The sequence below is a fragment of the Homo sapiens genome, chromosome 15, assembly GCF_000001405.40.
Source record: "Homo sapiens chromosome 15, GRCh38.p14 Primary Assembly".
NCBI classification, from domain to species: domain Eukaryota; kingdom Metazoa; phylum Chordata; class Mammalia; order Primates; family Hominidae; genus Homo; species Homo sapiens.
In genome coordinates, this window is record NC_000015.10 from 83,483,152 (window position 1) to 83,502,018 (window position 18,867).

General features: G+C 43.2%; 1 protein-coding gene across 23 annotated transcripts in view; it reads left to right on the top strand.

The window, feature by feature from the left end:
• SH3GL3 (SH3 domain containing GRB2 like 3, endophilin A3) overlaps positions 1-18,867 on the top strand; it is a 186,480-nt gene that overhangs the window by 35,811 nt on the left and 131,802 nt on the right. For 11 of the 23 annotated variants that reach the window (XR_007064483.1, XR_007064484.1, NR_136711.2 and 8 more), the window contains exon 2: positions 7,601-7,751. The exons of 9 other annotated variants lie outside the window; for them this stretch is intronic. Coding sequence is in view for 5 of the 14 variants with exons in the window: in NM_001324183.2 (NP_001311112.1) it covers positions 7,683-7,751 (69 nt within the window). In the remaining 9 variants the exon portion in view is untranslated. Of the gene's footprint in view, positions 1-4,909; positions 5,146-6,037; positions 6,164-7,462; positions 7,752-18,867 lie in introns of those variants that run through there. 3 more of the 23 variants (NM_001301109.2, XM_011521889.2, NM_001324187.1) reach the window with 3 other exon arrangements.

The following is an 18,867-nucleotide window of genomic DNA, read 5'->3' on the forward strand; positions in this document are numbered from 1 at the left end:
CTAGTGTGTCTAGTTTCAGCAGGTGAGATATAGTCTGTTGTCAGCCCAGACAGGGTGAGAAGGGAGAGCTTCAGATTGATAGTTTAGCTTTCTGAAAGGAAGGTTGCAAATGGAGGGCCTTGCTCTAGACCAGTGCGGCCCAGTGCAAACTTTCTGTGCTGATGGAAATGTTCTTGGATCTGAGCTGCCTGGTATGATAGCCACTCACCATGCATGACTACTGAGCATTTGAAATGTGGCTAGTGCAAGTGAGATGGATTTCTAAACTTTTATTTACTTTTAATTAATTTTTATTAATTAATTAAAACATAAATTTAAATGACCACATGTGGCCAGTGGCTATGTATTAGATAGCACGGTCATCATGAGGACGGCTTCCTGTGTGATTTGTTTACTGTTGTGTTCCCAGCCCCAGTACTTGTCACACAGTAGACACTCAATATTCATAGAAATTAATGGATGCAGCAAGGGGAAATCTCTGGTAGGGCTTCTTTCCTTGCTATGCCAAGAGTTCCTTTTCTTTCTGTGGGTCTGCCCAAAGTTAGAGAAGTCGCATTACCCTCATCAGTAACTACCACAAGTGCTGTTGGTAGGGGCATCTGTAGGATTCCCATCCCCATGGCCCTTTTTATGTCCTACTGTGTGTGCCAGTCTGACCAGTGAGATCAATCCATCCTTGCCTTAGGAATTCCTAAGAATTTCAGAAATTTCTCAAAGCTGCTGCCAGGAAGTTGGGAGTTGTCCTAGTTTGTAAAGCTGATCTAGATACTTCTCAGTTTTATAGTCCTATGGCCATTCCAGGGAGAATGTTGGTGCTAGAGAGAAAAGAACTGAGATCTGTGTTTTGAATCAAGAGCCTATTGTCATCTTTCTGTGTTTTAATGGCTTACTATATCTTGATGCAAAAGCTTCAGTGTTTACGAGGCTCCACTACTGATTGTATCTTTCAGCAATCTCAAATGACCCTCTTTAATCCCATTTTCTGCCTTCTTCTTATACTCAGAATGATACAAATATTACCCCCAATTTAATTTTTTCCTCACATTTGCCCTCATCTTTTGGTGTAATACTATGGTGTTACTTTAAAGGGTTTTTAAGAAGCAGGTAATTTATGTTTGAACCAATTTTGATTGTCTTTGCCTATTATTTATTGAGGAAATCGTACTATTGACACAGTGGTATGTCTGGTCATCTGCCATTTCGTTTTCCTTGTTTTTTGCTTTCAGTCCTGTCTTTACATTATCATTACATTTACTTTTATCTTGTACTTTTGTTTGGATCATAGTTATGCCATTTCTAATTCTAGTAGTGGATCCTATTAAGTTTTTAAAAAATCCATATTAAATCTATATTTATGAAATTGCTGAAGTCAGTAAAAATAGTTTTTTTTTTCACTCTCCCTGATAGACAATCCCACATTTCTTTATTTTGGTTGTTTTTTTGTATCTCTTTTCTTTTCTTCTATTTCCTGAGACATTTGGCAATCTAATCTAGAACTATTCAAGTCAGCATTTCACAAATAACCTCAGTGATTTTCTTTTGTGTCTCTCTTCATAATCCTGTTATGAATTATGCATGCATTTATATTAAACTTAGTTGATGCTCACTTTGCCATTTTGAGTTCTTAGGTTTTCCAGCTCTCTCTGACATGAAGCACATTTTCAAATACGTTCTTCAAGAAGCATACACCATATGTTTTCTGAGACTTTGCATATTTAAAACATTTTTTTTGGTTGCCTTCTGTTGCGAACAACAATGTGTCTTAATTTAGTAGTTTTAAAGTCACAAGTGTTTAAATATTAAAATGTAGATATTGATGCATTATCTTCCAAAACCTCCTGTTGGGGGTAAATATTGAGGCCATCCTGATTTGTATTCCCTTGCAGATAATCTCTCTGTCTCCTATTTTCTCACCTTTGAATTCTGATGACTCTTTATGTGTCCTTGAGACTAAAAAATGTCACCAGAACATGTCTATCAGTGAATCTCTTTCCATTAATTTTGCTTAATATATGATGAACCATGCAAACTGAAATCTGTTTTCAACTGAGGAAAGTGTTTTTTTCTGGTAAGTGCTTATTTATTGTTTGGATACTATTTGTGTGGGTTTTATTTTGGGATGAAATAGTTTTACATGGGTTGGATGTTTCTTCTGTGTTCCTTCATATATTAATGTAGGTGCCTCAACAAGTCTGGGGAAGAATAATGAAAAAGTGTTGTGTTCTTTGCGATGATTTTTGTTTTTAGGTAATTTTTTGCTCCATTTTTGAAGTATTTCTCCTCTTTTTCCATTGGCTGCATTTTTTAGCATTGTAAAGTGTGTGAAGTTTATTTATTCATTTATTTTTTTGAGGTGGGGTCTTGCTCTGTTGCCCAGGCTAGAGTACAGCAGCATGATCATGGCTCCCTGCAGCATCCACCTTCCAGGCTCAAGCAATCCTCCTGCCTCAGCCTCCCAAGTCGCTGGAACTACAGGCGTATGCCACCACACCTAGCTAGTTTGGTTTTTGTTGGCATTTTTTTTTTATAGAGTCAGGGTCTCCCTATGTTGTCCAGGCTGGTCTCGAACTCCTGGGCTCAAGCCATCCTCCCGCCTTGGCCTCCCAGAGTGCTGAGATTACAGGCATGAGCCACCATGCCTGGCCGGAAGTTTACTTTTTACTGCCTACCATGTGGATTTGTTTTTTTAAATTTCTATTATGAGGAATTTTATACATACAGAAAACTAAAGAGAAAAATACTATGAATACCTCTACCCCATCACATAGATTAACAGGTATTAACATTTTGCCATCTTTGGTTTATCTTGTTTTATTCCTGAAGCATTTTAACAGACCACGTAACATTTCATTCCCAATACTTCAGTATGCACATCTGAAAAATAAGGGCCTTTCTCTTAGGCCTTTCTCTAACCATGCTACCACTATCACATCTAACAATGATTTTTTATGTCCTCCAATGCCCAGCCTATATTCAAATTTCTCTAATATTCTCCAAATGTCTTTTATGGCCAGCCTGTATGAATCTGGATCTAACCAAAGACCATACATTGTATTTGATAGTTATGTCTCTTATACTGCTTTTTTTTAAATTCAAATTTACATAACATAAAGTTAGCCATTTTAAGATGAATAATTCAGTGGCATTTAGTAGTCACAGTGTTGTACAATGATCATCTCTATCTAGTTCCAAAACATTTTCATCACCCCAAAGTAAAACCTCATACCCTTTAAGCAGTTACTCCTCATTTCCCACCCCACCCATCTCCTGGGAATCACTAATTATCCTCTGCCTCTGTGGATTTACTTATTCTGGATATTTTATATGAATGGAATTGTACAATATGTGACCTTTTGTGTTTTGCTTCTTTTACTTAGCACAGTGTTTTTGATATTCATCCATATTGTAGCATGTATCAGTACTTTATTCCTTTTCATGGCTGTATAATATTCCATTGTATAAATATACCATAATTTGTCTATTCATTTATCCTTTGTGGACATTTGGGTTTTTCTCCCTTTTGGTTATTGGGAATAGTGTTGCAATGAATACTTACCCTAGTCAGCTCAGACTGCTATAACAAAATACTGGAAACTGGGTGGCTTAAATAACAGATGTTTATTTTTCAGTTATGGAGGCTGGGAAGTCCAAGATCAAGGCACTGGAAAATTTGGCTCTTGGAAAGGGCCCGCTTCCTGGCTTGCAGATGGCTACCTTCTCCCTGTGTCTTCACATGGCAGAGAGAGAGAGAGAGAGCACTCTGGCCTCTCTTCCTCTTCTTTATAAGCACACCGGCCCCATCATGGGGTCCCTACACTTGTCCCTCTTCTAAACCTGATAACCTCCCCAAAGCCCTGCTTCCAAATACAACCACATTAGGAGTTAGAGCTTCAACAAATGAATTTGGGAGGACATAAACATTCAGTCCATACAATACTCATGTGCAAGTATTTGCATCATATTTTCAATTATTTGGGGTATATACCCTGAGTGGAATTGCTGGGTTATTCTTAAATGTTTTAATCTTGAAGAATTTTTAACCGGTTTACCTGTTTTTTTTTTTTTTTTATCTTTCTTGTTCCTTCTTGTTCTTTTCCTGCAATGACATCAATTTGATAACATGACTAGTTCAGTCGTCCCATCTTTTGGCTTGGCCTGATTGTTTCCTCTTGTTCTTCTTCAGTATGTTCCTCTGTGCCTTGCATGTCTTATAATTTGGGTACCATGTTTTTATTTTCTCTGCAGTCTCTTTTTTCCGTCTGTTTACTGTTTGATATATTTGCCTCTTCTGTTTGGTATGTGGACTATTTTGGGGGAATGTGCCCTTATTTTCTGTTGTGAACCCAAAGAAGTTTCTATACTTTCCTGCAATAAATCTATGTGCAAGAATGTTTTTGCTCTTTTTTTTGAGGAACGGTTTCTGTCCTCTTGTGCTTCAAATTCTGGTCATAGGCATCAGACTGTTGTGTTTCTCCTTCCTTATCTGTGAATAGACCTAGTGTTGGCACACAGATGTGATACACTGGCCATTTGCAGTGTACCACTGACCCTGGCACAATGCCTTCTCATATCTGAGGCCAGGGGCTGAGCTGGTGGCACCACCAATGGGACATTCCTAGTCTGTGGCCCCATCCCAGGAAGCTCTTTTTGGCTGACATAGTTTTTCTCTTCTCTCACTATCCATTTTTTTTTCTTTCTTTTTTTAATTTTCTTTTCTTTTTCTTTTCTTTTTTTTTTTTTCCTGAGACGGAGTCTTGCTCTGTCGCCTGGCTGGAGTGCAGTGGCGCGATCTCAGCTCACTGCAACCTTCGCCTCCTGGGTTCAAGTGATTCCCCTGCCTCAGCCTCCCGAGTAGCTGGGATTACAGGCACATGCCACCAAGCCCGTCTAATTTTTTTTTGTATTTTAGTAGAGATGGGTTTCACCATGTTGGCCAATATGGTCTCGATCTCCTGACCTCGTGATCCGCCTGCCTCGGCCTCCCAGAGTGCTGGGATTACAGGTGTGAGCCACTGTGCCCAGCCTCTTCTCTCACTATCCGTTTCTGACAAATGAAAAAAATGGATGTGGGTCCTGCAGAACCTGAGGCCAGCTCTAACCAGTCTTTCATGGATGCATACACCTGCCTGCAGGCGCTGCTCCCAGGTGAGGAGGTTGCATGCCTCAGAATGCAGTTAGCCTGGGCATCTGTGCACCAGGCTGAGTTCTTGCCTAGGAGCTGCAGATGTGTGATGAATGCAGAACTAAAGTTATTGAGGAGACCAAGAGACTTGACCTGGGAGTGCTTATGTGGTTTGGATGGGATTCCTTGAGGCTTTTGTGGAGGAGCAGTCCGTGGAGTCAGGGTGTCCGTGGGTCACTGTTAGCCCACATGGTGCTCTTTGTATGAGTTAGAAAAATACGCCTCTTCCTCGACACACTTTACTTTCATGCGGGGGAAAACTCTCCTATCCTGAATTGGTTAGAGCTGGTGATTTGACAGCCGCCTGCTGGAAAATTGTATGATAAGTACACAAATCTGCTTCAGGAGGGTGTGCTCCCTTCCATGTGGCACAGTTGTCACCCCCTGCCCAGCTGCCTCTGCAGCCACTTTGGGTTTTGTGGCTGATGTTCACTAGCCACTGACTATACATCTGAATCTCTTCCTGTCAGTAGAAGATCCTTCTGATTTGGGCATATGGTCAACTTTTTATTTTTCATAACTCTTGCTACCCCTTTCCTCCATTTTTATTAGTTTTCATGGGGACTTAAGTGAGCATCCAGGCACCGTTGCTGATCTGTCTCCCTGACCCAGAAGACCATGTTGGCTTTTGGACAAAGATCCTGGATAGTTCTGAAGCTATGATGCTGTGCATCAGGGTTGAATGGGGGTCCTGAGAGTCCAGCATTGCTTGTGCTAGCAGCTCATAGCAGCTTAACTTGTGTAGCAGAATGGGTGCCTTGTAATAGATAGCCATCTGCTTTTCAGTTTATGGAAGGCTTCGTTTCTTCTGACGGCATTCTGACGGGCAGGTGTTACATCTTTTGTGACTCCCAGGTTATGAGGCTGGTTCTTGGGTTTGACTCTGGGAATCATGCTCATTGATCTGCTTTTCCTAATCATGTCAGTGAATACCTACACGTGAAGAAAACTCAAGCTGCACCATAAAGCTAAAGGAAGAAGGTAAAAACCACCTCAAATTTCCGTGATACAGGAAAAACTGCTGTGACCCTCCACTTCTCCATCCTGGTCCCATTTCCTGTTTCCACCCTCATCCAGTTTGCTTTTCCAGAATCTTTACTGCTTCCTTTGATGGGGGTAACGACTCTCCCTAACCACCCCACCTCCCGTGGGAACTGTTACCCCATCCATAGCCAGCATTTGACAGCCCAAGGGCAGGTTTATGTATTTGCAAACGACATTATTCTCCTATAACTAAAAATGTAAAGATCCTTTCGTATTAAATAGTCCAGTGTCCCTAGGGCACAGTGCTTTTGGATTTCAGCCTGCTTCTGCTTTGTGATCTTGGGAAAGTCACTAACCCCTCTGGGCCTCTATCTCTATTTAAAAGGAAGAGGCTGAACCAAAATGCCCTTTCCAGGTGAAAGCAAGTGGGGAAGTTAGACCTATTTAGGGAATAGAGAACAGCCTGTGGGACAGGTTTGTGCTTATTGTTGGTGCAGTTTAGTAGGAATTGTCAGAAGCCGATAGATAGATAGATAGATAGATAGATAGATAGATAGATAGATAGATAGATAATAGATAGATAGATAATAGATAGATGATTGATAGATGATAGATAGATGACAGATAGATGATAGATTATAAATTGATGTTTGATAGATCAATAGATAGATAAAAGGGAACCAAATACTGTCTCTGTGGCCTGGGCATTTTTGCCAGGCAGGGGGAATCACATCGTTGGTGACAGAGTTGTATGGCCCACAGAGGCCAGCTAAGAGATTGGGAGAAGGTTGTTGACCTTGTGTGGGAACCAACCTCAGGGGGATGGATGAGGTTGGGGCCCCTTAGGGGTCTCCGCTCTTGGCGTCTGGACTCCCCTTCTCTGTGGGTCTAAGCTGGCTTCTTTCTGCTGTGGGATTGTGTTAACACTGCCCCTTTAGTGATTTTGCGTTTTTTTTTTTTTTTTTTCCGCTGACCCTCATTAGCAGAGGTTTTGCTCTTACACACTGCATTGTCCCAGTGACTTCTTATATGCCAGTCACTGGTGGGTAAATGCCAGAGGGACACTGAGGGCTCATCAGGAGGACTCAGCCTCCTCTCAGAGAGGAAGCCAAGGTGGCCAGATTACAATTTGTTTTTTCTGGTAAATGTCATGGGTAGGAAATGTTATTTGTGAGTCTGAAATATCCACCAAGGGCAGAGGGTGCTCTGAAGACAAACAGGAATTGAGTGCTCATTTTCTTGGCCCTGAAGTGATGTGTTGCCTCCGTGATGTCACAGTTGGCCCCCCTACAACCTAGTTCAGCCTGGCACAGTATATGACGGTGGTCACTGGCTTTCTATCTGGGCAGGATAGCACCTGCACATCAGGGAAAACAGACCAAGCTCTCACAAGGGCAATATCATCCTTTGGAATTTGTTCACTTTTAATTACAGGAGCTTTTAAGTGAATAAGACCATTTTCCCAATGAGCAGTGTCATAAACATTGAGGACTCTCTTAAATCAGAAGATGAATGAATGGATGGAATCTTTGCTGGGATAATATGCAATCAAGCTAATAGGTGCCTTACCTGGACCTCCCAACAGGTAATAAATGGGAAAATGTTAAGGGGGAGTGGTTGGGGAAGAACAGTAAACTTGGAAAAGCCATTCTCATCAGCACAGAAGCACTGAAAGAAGGTACAGATCTTCATGGTGAAAAGTGGGAAGCCTTGTATTAGCAAGGAGTGATGATTGACAAAGACCTAAGGTCTAATGTCTAATGTGTGCTGGGGAGAGTCCGAGAATCCTGTGGGTACAGAGAAAAGTAAGACATTAGAAGTCCTTATGTGTGTTTTGGAGACAGAGTCCCTAAGCTCACCTGGTCAGTAAGTGTCTCTTGCATGAGTGAATTGGACAGTGCGGACTCCATTCTGCAAAAAGCTTGATTGGAGGCAAGTGGAAAGGACCTTGGAAAATTAACCAAAATGCAATGAAGCTCTTTCCTAAATACCAATGGCTAAAGAACTTCAACATGTCAGTGTTGTATGAAATACTTCATTGGACTGAATTGTCCTCTGAATTTAATGTTAGCATTCCCTCAAGAGTCTTGGCTTTCTTTTTTTGCCTGCACTGTCTGCATTACAGTGCAGTAAGGCAGACTTTTCTTGTGAAGTGGTATGGATAAGATTTAGAGGATCTGAACACCTCTCTGCTTTGGAATTCGTGGTAGCTAAAGTGTAAATAGATTCACACATCTGACATTCAAAGTCAGAAATTCACGTGGTCTTGCACTGTTCTGGTGTGCAAGTTGGTTTCAGAAGGGGCTTGGTGTTTGAAAGGTGCTGTAAGGAGTGGAAGAATCGATGCCATCTTCAGATGTTTGTTCCAAGTCACAAGCAAACCCTGCTTCAAATCTGCTGGCAAGGCCTTTGAGTCACACAGAGCCTGACTTGTTCACTTTGTGTTTGTCCAGCTTCCATGGCATGTGGAAGAAGTTGGTCGGCTTGGGAATATGCTGAATCAAGCAACATAACCAACCAATGAGAGGGGGCTTAAGCTTCTTTCAAGCCGGGCAAACCTTTAGTTGTTAGAAGCCCATACTTCCTATGTGGTGGTATAGGAAGGACACAGACTTACCTGTAGGTTTCTTGCCAAAAAATAGAATTGCGATCTGATCAATCTTCCAACTATTTATAGAAAGTACAGGCCAGGCTTGGTGGCTCACGCCTGTAACCCCAGCACTTTGGGAGGCCTAGGCCGGCAGATCACGAGGTCAGGAGATCAAGACCATCCTGGCCAACATGGTGAAACCCCGTCTCTACTAAAAATACAAAAATTAGCTGGGTGTGGTGGCATGCGCCTGTAATCCCAGCTACTCGGGAGGCTGAGGCAGGAGAATTGCTTGAACCTGGGAATCGGAGGTTGCAGTGAGCCAAGATCGCCACTGTACTGCAGCCTGGTGACAGAGCAAGACTCCCTCTCAAAAAAAAAAAAAAAAAAAAAAAAGGAAGGTATGGACGATAAGGGGTTCATATCAAACAACACTATGGGAATGAAGTCCATCGGATTTAGAATGTGGAAATACTAAAAGATGCCACACCACATTTCTTCAGTAAATACATGGAAAAAAAAAAGACGGGGGAAGTGGTGTTAATGAAAGAAACTTTGAAGGGACTGTGGCAGATGCAATTGATGTTCTGCCTACCTTCACTCCACTTCTACCTCTATAGCTTGCTGGAGGCTGTGTGCCAGGAACACCTGTGACGCTTTCCCCTAGGGCATTTATTCTGTCCCCAAGGTTACACATGGTAAGCGGAGCAGAGTGCCCGAGAATTAATGGCCTAGAGAGTTAATGTCTCTGGAAGCAGTGCTTAGCCAAAGATGGGTGGAAAGCTGGTGGACAAATACCCCAGCTTCCTTCCCTCTATCCCCCAGGGTTGGGAAAACTCTCAGTGGTGCCCCACACTGTTTTCCAGAGTTGTCCAGAGAGACTGAGCTTCATTTGCCCCCAGCAGTAACGAACCCTTTGTTGGTGGTCCTCCCACTGTCTCACTTTCCGGCTCCCCTACCAGTTTCACTGGGGTCACCTCCCAGTTAAACCATTTGCACTGAAATCATTGCCCCAGGGTCTGTTTCTGGGGGAAACCAAAGTAGGACAGGGACAAATCAATCCATGGAACAAGTGAACCTTATTTCCATCTGGATTCAAACAACCCATCTGCCAAAAGGCATTTATGAGTTAAATGTGGAAACATGATCATAGATGGGATATTAGATGATTTTAAATAATCGTTCTTTAATTTCTTTAGGTTTGATTGTTGTTTCTTGGTTATTTTTTTAAAAAAGAGTGCTTATCTGCTAGAGATCCACATTGCAGTATTTACAAATGAGATGATACGATGTCTGTGGTTTGCTTTAAAATAATCCAGTGGTGGTGGTGGAGGTGGAGGGGCACCAGGGAGGGGATCCGGGGACTATAAGGTGGGCAAAACTTTAATAACTGTTGAAGCTGGGTGATGGGGACATGGCAGTTCATTACAGAGGTTTTGTGGTGTATTTAAAATCTTTCATAGTAAAATGTTAAAGAAAACAAAAAAAAGCACATGTACACCTTTCTGGTCTCCCTCCTCTGAGGCAAAATTAAATGATCCTCTTCCCAGCCATGTTACCGTGACACATCGGCTCTGTCTTGGGGATCAGTGGCTCAGCAAGTGAGTCCTTAGTGTCTCAGTTCATGGCCCTCCTCCATGCTGGTGGCCTTCACCTCCTCCATTGCATCCATCCATCCCGTAGCCAGACTGGAGCCTTTGGCATCACCCAGACCTGCTTTTACCTGAGTTCTTAAATTCCATCCTGTGAGCTCCTGCCCTGAGCGATTCCTCTGGTTCTATTGCAGCAACTTTCCAATCTGTAACCCGCCATGCAATCATAACCCACGTGGTCTCGACTGTTAAGTACCAGAACTGCTGGGCGGGAGGGAGGGTGAGCCTGGAGACAGAGGTCAGGCCAGGTTGTGGGCCTTCTCCTGTAAAGAGTCTTCAGCAATTCTAGTGGGATATCCAAGAGGTTGTTGTGACTTTGGCCTTGGCCAAACACCCCAGGGGTGTTATAATTGGGGGGTGGGCAGCCACTGGGAGAGGAAGTGCCACCATGGCTGTAAGTGGAAGAATAGAAACTTCAATCGGGAGGGATCCAGTACAGGAAGAGTTCAGTTCTCAGGGAGAGAGGGTTGGAGAAAGCCTGAGTCGTTGTTAGGGCATTAGCCAAATGGCCAGGACTTTTCCAGAGGGAAGCTGGGATATAATCAGGAAACTAGGGCAGGAGGCTAATTCTGCATACTGGATGCATGGGCCAGGTTCAGGTGGGTCTCCTGCCCAAGGCTTGCCACAGGTATGCCAGGCTTTGGGTGGCAGGAGGAATGGCAGAGCTCAGCCACTGGAGGGAATGAGCCTGTGCCCATGGGGCTAGTTTCTGATGGGCTCGGTCACTGGAACAGGTTGGGTGAGGGTGGCCATGGAGAACCTGCAGGCTGAAGATCTTTTATATTTGGCTTATTTATTGAGAGGTCTCAGCTCTGCACATACATAGGAATTGGTTTTATTTTTGCTAATCACTGCTTTCCACTGTGCTGAAGCAAGTTCTTCTCTCCTTCTGTGGAGTAGGACTCTTGAGGATCCTTTGACCAGGGCCATATATTTCCTGTCATGGTTAAGTTTTAAAACCTTTTTATTTCTGTATGACTTAGTCCCCCTTTTTTTTTTTTTGAGGTGAGTCTTGCTCTGTCACCCAGGCTGGAGTGCAATGGTGTCATCTTGGCTCACTGCAACCTCTGCCTCCCGGGTTCAAGCGATTCTCCTGCCTCAGGCTCCTGAGTAGCTGGGACAACAGGTGTGTGCCACCGTGTCCAGCTAATTTTTGTACTTTTAGTAGAGATGGGGTTTCACCATGTTGGCCAGGCTGGTCTCGAACTCCTGGCCTCAAGTGATTCGCTTGCCTCCGCCTCCCCAGTGTGCTGGGATTACAGGTGTGACCCACCGCACCTGGCCGCTTTTTGTTTTTAAAATATCAGTTTCCAACCTGATTGACAGTTTGTCCTCAACAGCATGGGCAGAGATGGGATCCTGGCTGCTGGTAGCGGAAGAGGGTGCTGTGGTCAGGCTCTGTGCACCTCCTCCCTCTCCCCCTTCCAGATGCTCCTTCCCTTGGTGCTGGGCACAGGAAGGACAGGTGGAGAGGCTTAGTTCTATGTGTCTTCCACCTGCAGAGGGTGTATGGGGGTTCCTGGTCTTGCTGTGGTCCCCCCGGTTCTGTCTGATGCTGGTGTGGCACCTGTGTCTTCCTGTGGTCTCATCTGTGGTATATAATCCCACCCTCTTTTCCTGGTGCTATTTCCCTTACCCTTGAAGCTGCCTGGACAGGCCATGGCTCCTCTCCTGCTGCTCTCCCAACCTGAACCTTCTTGTTGACTCAGGGAAACCACTGGAGTCTTCTTTCATACCCTCTGAGGGCCATAGAGAATGGTATTCCTTCACTGAAGGCAACTCTAGTCTTTGCAAGTGGTTTTCTTGGAGTCCCTCGGAACTGGCTTTGAGAAAGGGAAAGCATCCTCATCAGTTTCCCATGAGAATGTGAGGGAATAAGAAAAGTAGCTAATAGGCCAGATGTGGTGGCTCATGCCTGTAATCTCAGCATTTTGGGAGGCTGAGGTGGGTGAATCACTTGAGGTCAGGAGTTCAAGACCAGGCTGGCCAAAATGGTAAAACCCTGTCTCTACCAAAAATACAAAGAAGTTAGCTGGGCGTGGTGATGCACACCTGAAGTCCTAGCTACTTGGGAGGCTGAGGCAGGAGAATTGCTTGAACCCAGGAGGCGGAGGTTGCAGTGAGCCAAGATTGCACCACTGCACTCCAGCCTGGGTGACAGACTGAGACTCGGTCTCAAAAGAAAAAAAAATGTTGCACTAAACATCTTTTTCCATGTTAAGGTTGTCTGTCTGTATTTAGGAATGGACTTTCCTTATGATAGACTCCACTCTGTGATGTGAAATTTGTACATCAAAGGATTTGAACAATTCTAAGTACAAATTTTTATATGTGTGTGTGTTTGTGTGTGTGTATGTGTAGTACAGTTTTAATTGCTCCCATGATACATAGTCATTAGAGAAAACCCTTGTTAAAAAAAAAAGGAGCGGGGAGGAGAAAGGAGGCAAAGAAACACGTATATGGATTTGCGTCTTCCATTTGCCTTGAATTAAATTTAATGTCATTAAAAAACCCACTGGCCAGGTGCAGTAGCTCATGCCTGTAATCCCAGAACTTTGGGAGGCCAGGGCGGGAGGATCACTTGAGGCCAGGAGTTGGAGACCAGCCTGGCCAACATTGCAAAACCCCCTCTACTAAAAATACAAAAATTAGCCAGGCGTGGTGGTGCACGTGCCTGTAGTCTCAGCTACTCGGGAGGCTGAGGTGGGAGAATTGCTTGAACCCAGGAAGTGGAGGTTGCAATGAGCTGAGATTGTGCCACTGCACTCCAGCCTGGGCAACAGAGTGAGATTATGTCTCAAAAAAAAAAAAAGAAAAAAAAAAGAAAAATAGCTAATACTTACATAGTGCAGTTCTAAGAATGTTAAATATTTCAATTGATTTAATCCTTGTGATAACCATTTGGAGTAGACATTAGCCTCATTTTATGGACTAGAGTGGATATATATAGCCCTACATCACACGGTTTATAAGTTGGCAGATCCAGGACTTGAACCTTGTCTTTCGGGCTTAGGTGTTACATGTCACTCTTGTCACGCTGAAGGGTCCTTCTTTTCCTCTCTTTATATTGATTTCCTCTCTTATATTGACTGAATGGGAGGCAGGGGAGTGGTAAGGGCAGGGGACCAGTTTTGACACCTCTTGGAAAGTTGTGCTGTAGTAGCTGGCATCATGGCTAGAAGCTTGTCGGTGACTCTGACTGTGGACTATTGTGAGCTTTCAGTCATTAGCTTTGGACCTTAGCTGTGATTCCAGGTCAGGAGGAAAGTTCCACTCAACTTGCTATTTCTCATCTAGCTCGGCAGTGTTGAGAGGCCTGGCTCTTTTCCTGAAGCTATTTTCCCCAAGCTGGATATCTTAGGACTTCTCTTCCTTTCCTGCCTGCCCAGATCCCATGCAGGGCAGCTCCCTTTCTCACAGACCCCTGCAAACCCCTCCCTCCACTATCTTTCCTATGTCTTCTGCCAACCTCAGGCCCTGGAGCCCTCTAACATCTGTCTTCTCTGCTATACAGGGTCTGCCAGGAACTGCTGGAGAAAATCTTGTAATTGTGCTGGTGTTACATATTTATGGCTTCAGCTTCAAGATAAGTCACTAATCCTTTATTATGTTCTTGAATGGCTTCCTCTTCCACTCTTTGTCATGGCTCTTGAAGACCCGTTACAGCCCCAAGACCCCGTGGTAGTAGTCCTACCTTCTTGCCCCTTGTCTTCACGCTCTCCTTTACTGACACTTACCTTGAGGTTATCTACCGGGACATCTAGAGCCTATTGTTCGAGGAATGCAGTCTTGCAAGCCTACTCTGGACCCGAGCAGCTGACCTCTTCTTCCACGCCCCCCTTCTCGCTATCTCTTTTACCAATAAATATGGAGGGCTATGTAAAGCTCAGGGCCCTTGTCCACTAGAGGCAAGGTGCCCCCTGACCCCTTCTTCCAAACATATTTTTTTGTCTCTTATCTTTATTCCCACATTCATCCTCCTTTGTTCAGTCCCCTAAGGTCTGTGCAGGTTACAATTAAGCAAGTTGGCCTCTTGTTTAAATCCTTCCCTTGACTCTCTCTCCCCTTAGGCCTCCCCTGTCTCACTCTTTTCTTCATTGCTGGACTTTTAGAAAGCATATCTCTACCCACTGCTTTCACTTCCTGATCACGTATCACTGTCAACCAATGTAATCTACTGTCCCCTCCATCATCACACAATGGATCTACTTCAGTTAAGTTACCAACATCTTCCTAAAAGATGAATCCAGCAGGCATTTGTGTCTTTATTTTTGACAACTCTGCTCTGTTGTGGATTTTGACCATCTCCTTCTGGAAACATCGTCTACTATGATTCCTACCACACCACTGCTGGTTAAACTTTTAACTCTCTGTTCACTATGTTTTATTTTCCAGCCTCTCTTTCTCTGTCCAACTTTTTAAAATCAGTGATCACGAGGAGTTTGCTCTTGGTCATCTAGTCTTTTCACTCAGTTGATGTTTTGTGTATGATACCATGACTCTCATGATAACCCATGTGGTCACCTGTTCATAATTCCTGTCCTGACATTTCTCTTGAGCTTTAGGCAGCCTATCTGGACAGCTCTACTTGGACACCCCCACACACCTCAAATTAGTTTTCAAAAAATATATTTTTTAAGTCCATCCAAACATTTTCATCACTCCAATTTACTAGAAACTATAAAACCAGCCTTCATCTTTGGGCATAGCACTCTGGAGCTGATTACCTCCCCTTCAATCCTGACTCCTCTCTTGATTAGCTGGGTGAGCCTGGGCAAGTAATCCACTTTCCATGTGTCTTAGTTTCTGGAAATTAAGCATATCTTCCTTAAAGGATGGACATGAAGATAAAATTAGATAATAAAGGCAAAGCTCTTGGCAAAGGGCTCAATATGTAGTAACTTCCACCAAATGCTGTGTTTTGTTATTGTTGCCATTATTCTATTCATCATTCATTCAACGCTTCTGAGTATCCTCAGTGATTCACTTGGCATTGTGCTAGGGACTCACTCCACACCCTTATCTCTCTACATTCTGTAGATTTTTACCTCTTAAGTGCTCTAAGATCTGTCAATCTCTCTCTGCACCACCATCACTCCTCAGGGTGGGGCCACATTACTTATTATCTACACTGCCACCTCTCCCACCTATTTTCTCTCCTGCTCCAGGCCATCTTCCTCACTGTGGCCAGAGGGATCTTCCTAAAACAGGAATGGTCACCCCCTACTGAAAATCCTTCAGTGGCCCTTCAGTATAAACTTGTACTGCTTCCATGTTGTCAAGCCCTTGTGTCTGCTGGCCTAGCTCTAGCCATCTGGAGCTACTTGGAAGTTTGCACACTATGCCCTGTTGGGTTATCCCTTTGGACCAGGTCCATGTTCTTCCTTCTGCTGAAATAAGCTTCTCCTCCACCTCCTTCTATTGTCCTCCTGGTGTTTTGCTTTCTCCTCCTTTAAGATTCTGTTGAAGCATTACCTGCTGCTGTAAAAATTTTAGGAATTTTTACCCGTTTCCTTCCTCTTCCCCCACCTGCTGAGGTGGGGGATGGGTTGCTTTGTTCTCCGTGTTCTTACAGCGTTTTATACATATCTTGCCTCTCATGATCAGGGGCTCTATCTTTCTTACCCCTAGGTTTTTTAATGTCTAAGGCCTGGAAAAGGAGGTTTACAGTTAGCAGTATTTTATTAAATACTTAACTCATTAAAGTCATAAATGTAAAACTGATTCTACATTAAACTTTAAAAAATAACTTACAAATTTTATAAATTCATTTGTAAATCTGATATTTATGTTAAAATGAAAGGCACTCCAGCCTGGGCGACAGAGACTCCATCTCAAAAAAAAAAAAAAAAGAAAGGCACTTATCTTTGAACAGTGTTTAATTTATAAATTTAACCAATTAAATCCCTCAATTAATACTATTTATAAATTCTGTTAATTTCCCTTAAACATTTTAAAGTGTAGTCATACGTGTAATCATATGTTCAATTAGTCATCCAGTTCTCACAGAGATCCAAATCTGATCAAAGAAACAAATGTCATTCACTAAATAAATGTTTACTGAGTGCCTAGCATGTGTGGTAACTGCTCCAGGCTTGGAGACTCAGTGATTAATAGTCAATGAAATGACCACTGAATGGTAAATACCGAGAATTGTGCCAACTGTAAACCTGAGTAAATGATTATTAGTGTTTTAACTAGTGTCACTGCAACCTGAGTAAAGTATATAAAATCCTATCAGTACACAGGACCTTAGAACAAACAAATACACAACAATTACACAGTAGGGCCTGGCCACAGAATGAGGAGATCTGAATAAAATCCTGGAAGATGACACTAGAACCCAAGAGCCTCGCAACTCCCTGATATTTAAAAGCTGCATTATTTCAGGAAAAGGTACCAGTCTGCTGAAAAATGGACACATGACACTGGAGAAGATCATCTGAAAGGGAGAGGGTCGGGAAGTCCTGTTGACTGCTGATGTGGCAGCTATTTGATGATAATGAGGGGCTGAACAAATGCCAGCTCAGATGGAATCATTCTGGAAGGTGCACTCACATTCTGAGTCCAGGCCCTAATCTCCAGTCAGTAACATGGAGCTTGACTTTATTGTGGTTCCCAGTATTTTATGGGGTAACCACAGCTGACCTGAGGTGGTTATTGTGCTGTCCTTGATTGGGCGAACTACTTGGAAATTTGAGATAAGGAAATAAATCCCTGGTGTCAATGCTTCTGTATTGGATATAATGATAGTAATAAGATATATTGATAGTAATAAGCTTTGCAGGCATTTTTAGGTGTGTGTTTTGTTGCTGCCTCCTTTTGAGCCCCTCTTCCCGGACCACACTTTTGCTGGAGTTCACAGAGCAGGCTGGAGTTCATCAATGAAGCCCTGGACCAATGTGGCCTTCAGGCCCCACATGCTGAGCCCTATCAAGTGCCATATCTCTCTCCACTATTGGTCTTGGGTGAGATGCTGCATTGGGGGCCTAGAACCTGGCTTCTCGAGTGGCTGTCCAAGGGCTGGAGGGTGAAACCCGGAAGTGTTGGGTCTTTGGCTCCTATGGTGAACCTCAACCAATGGGAGAGGATAGGATGGCACTGGGCAGATCAATTTCCCTTCCTTTCTCCCTTCCAGGGACTACTCTGAGGTGCAGTTTCTTCTTGCAGCTCTTTGTGAGAAAGTCCGGTGTGCTGATGGACATGGTTGCCTAGTGGCCTGGAGTGTTTTGAAGGTGGCTGGTGCAGTTACACCCTTTATCCCACAATCCTTGGACTCTTTCTTGGCCTTGCTCTCTTTCCTCACTCTTACCTGGGCTAGTAACTCGCACAATAAATTGTCACTTTAATCCTTGTCTCGGGCTCTGCTTTCTAGAAGACAGGGGCTACGAAGGCCCTTTGAAAAGAGTTATAATCATGGATTTTGGAATATTTCTTGTCCTCTGTGTATCCCTGAAACTTAGTACTTTTTGGAATTGGCTTATGCTTTTAATGACCTTTAGACCAGAAAATATTATATTTTTAAATTGTTTTCACCTGACGTTTTTAGTGTTCCAAAGTTGTATGCTTATCAGAAATAAGCAAGAACTCTGCAATTCTTTGAAGGCCAACAGCTTGTTACACTGTTTATAGCATAATTAACAACTTTATAACATTTATGAAAGTAAATGGATTAAATTTGTAATTATTGTCTGGAAAAACTGTATTTTTACATTTTATGAAACTTAAGCGACTCAAGTTATGCCATATTTCATACATAAGCTGAACTTTAATTTTAGATTCATGATTAGTACATCATAAAAGTACTTTCTGTGCTAACATTTTTCTCTTCCTGACTTATATATTTAAAAAAAATTCCCTTTGCTAATCATGATCCTGTTTAATATTCTTGGGAAGGTTAGAGGTGGAATTCAGAGTGAGATTATTGGCATCGCAAGAGGAACAGACACTGAAAGGTCAATTTATTCAATTTCGTGTTTGGGTGCAAGATCTCAGTTACTCGTCCTACACATGAGAAAACCCTTCTTGCCTTTAAGATTTACTGGCTTCTGGCTGGGTGCAGTGGCTCACGCCTGTAATCCCAGCACTTTGGGAGGCCTAGGCAGGCAGATCACCTGAGGTCAGGAGTTCATGACTAGCCTGGCCAACATGGTGAAACCCTGTTTCTACTAAAAATACAAAAATTAGCCAGGTGTAGAGGCCCACACCTGTAATCCCAGCTACTTGGAGGCTGTGGCAGGAGAATTGCTTGAACCCGGGAAGCTGAGGTTGCAGTGAGCTGACATCATGCCACCGCACTCCAGCCTGGGCGACAGAGTGAGATTCCGTCTCAAAAAAAAGAAAAGAAAAAAAAGACTTACTGGCTTCTTTTTAGACACAGTTTGCAGGAAAGGAAGGGAACCTAATAACCCATTAGAAAAATAGGTGTTTTATAAATAATGTTAATTGCAGCTATTTCA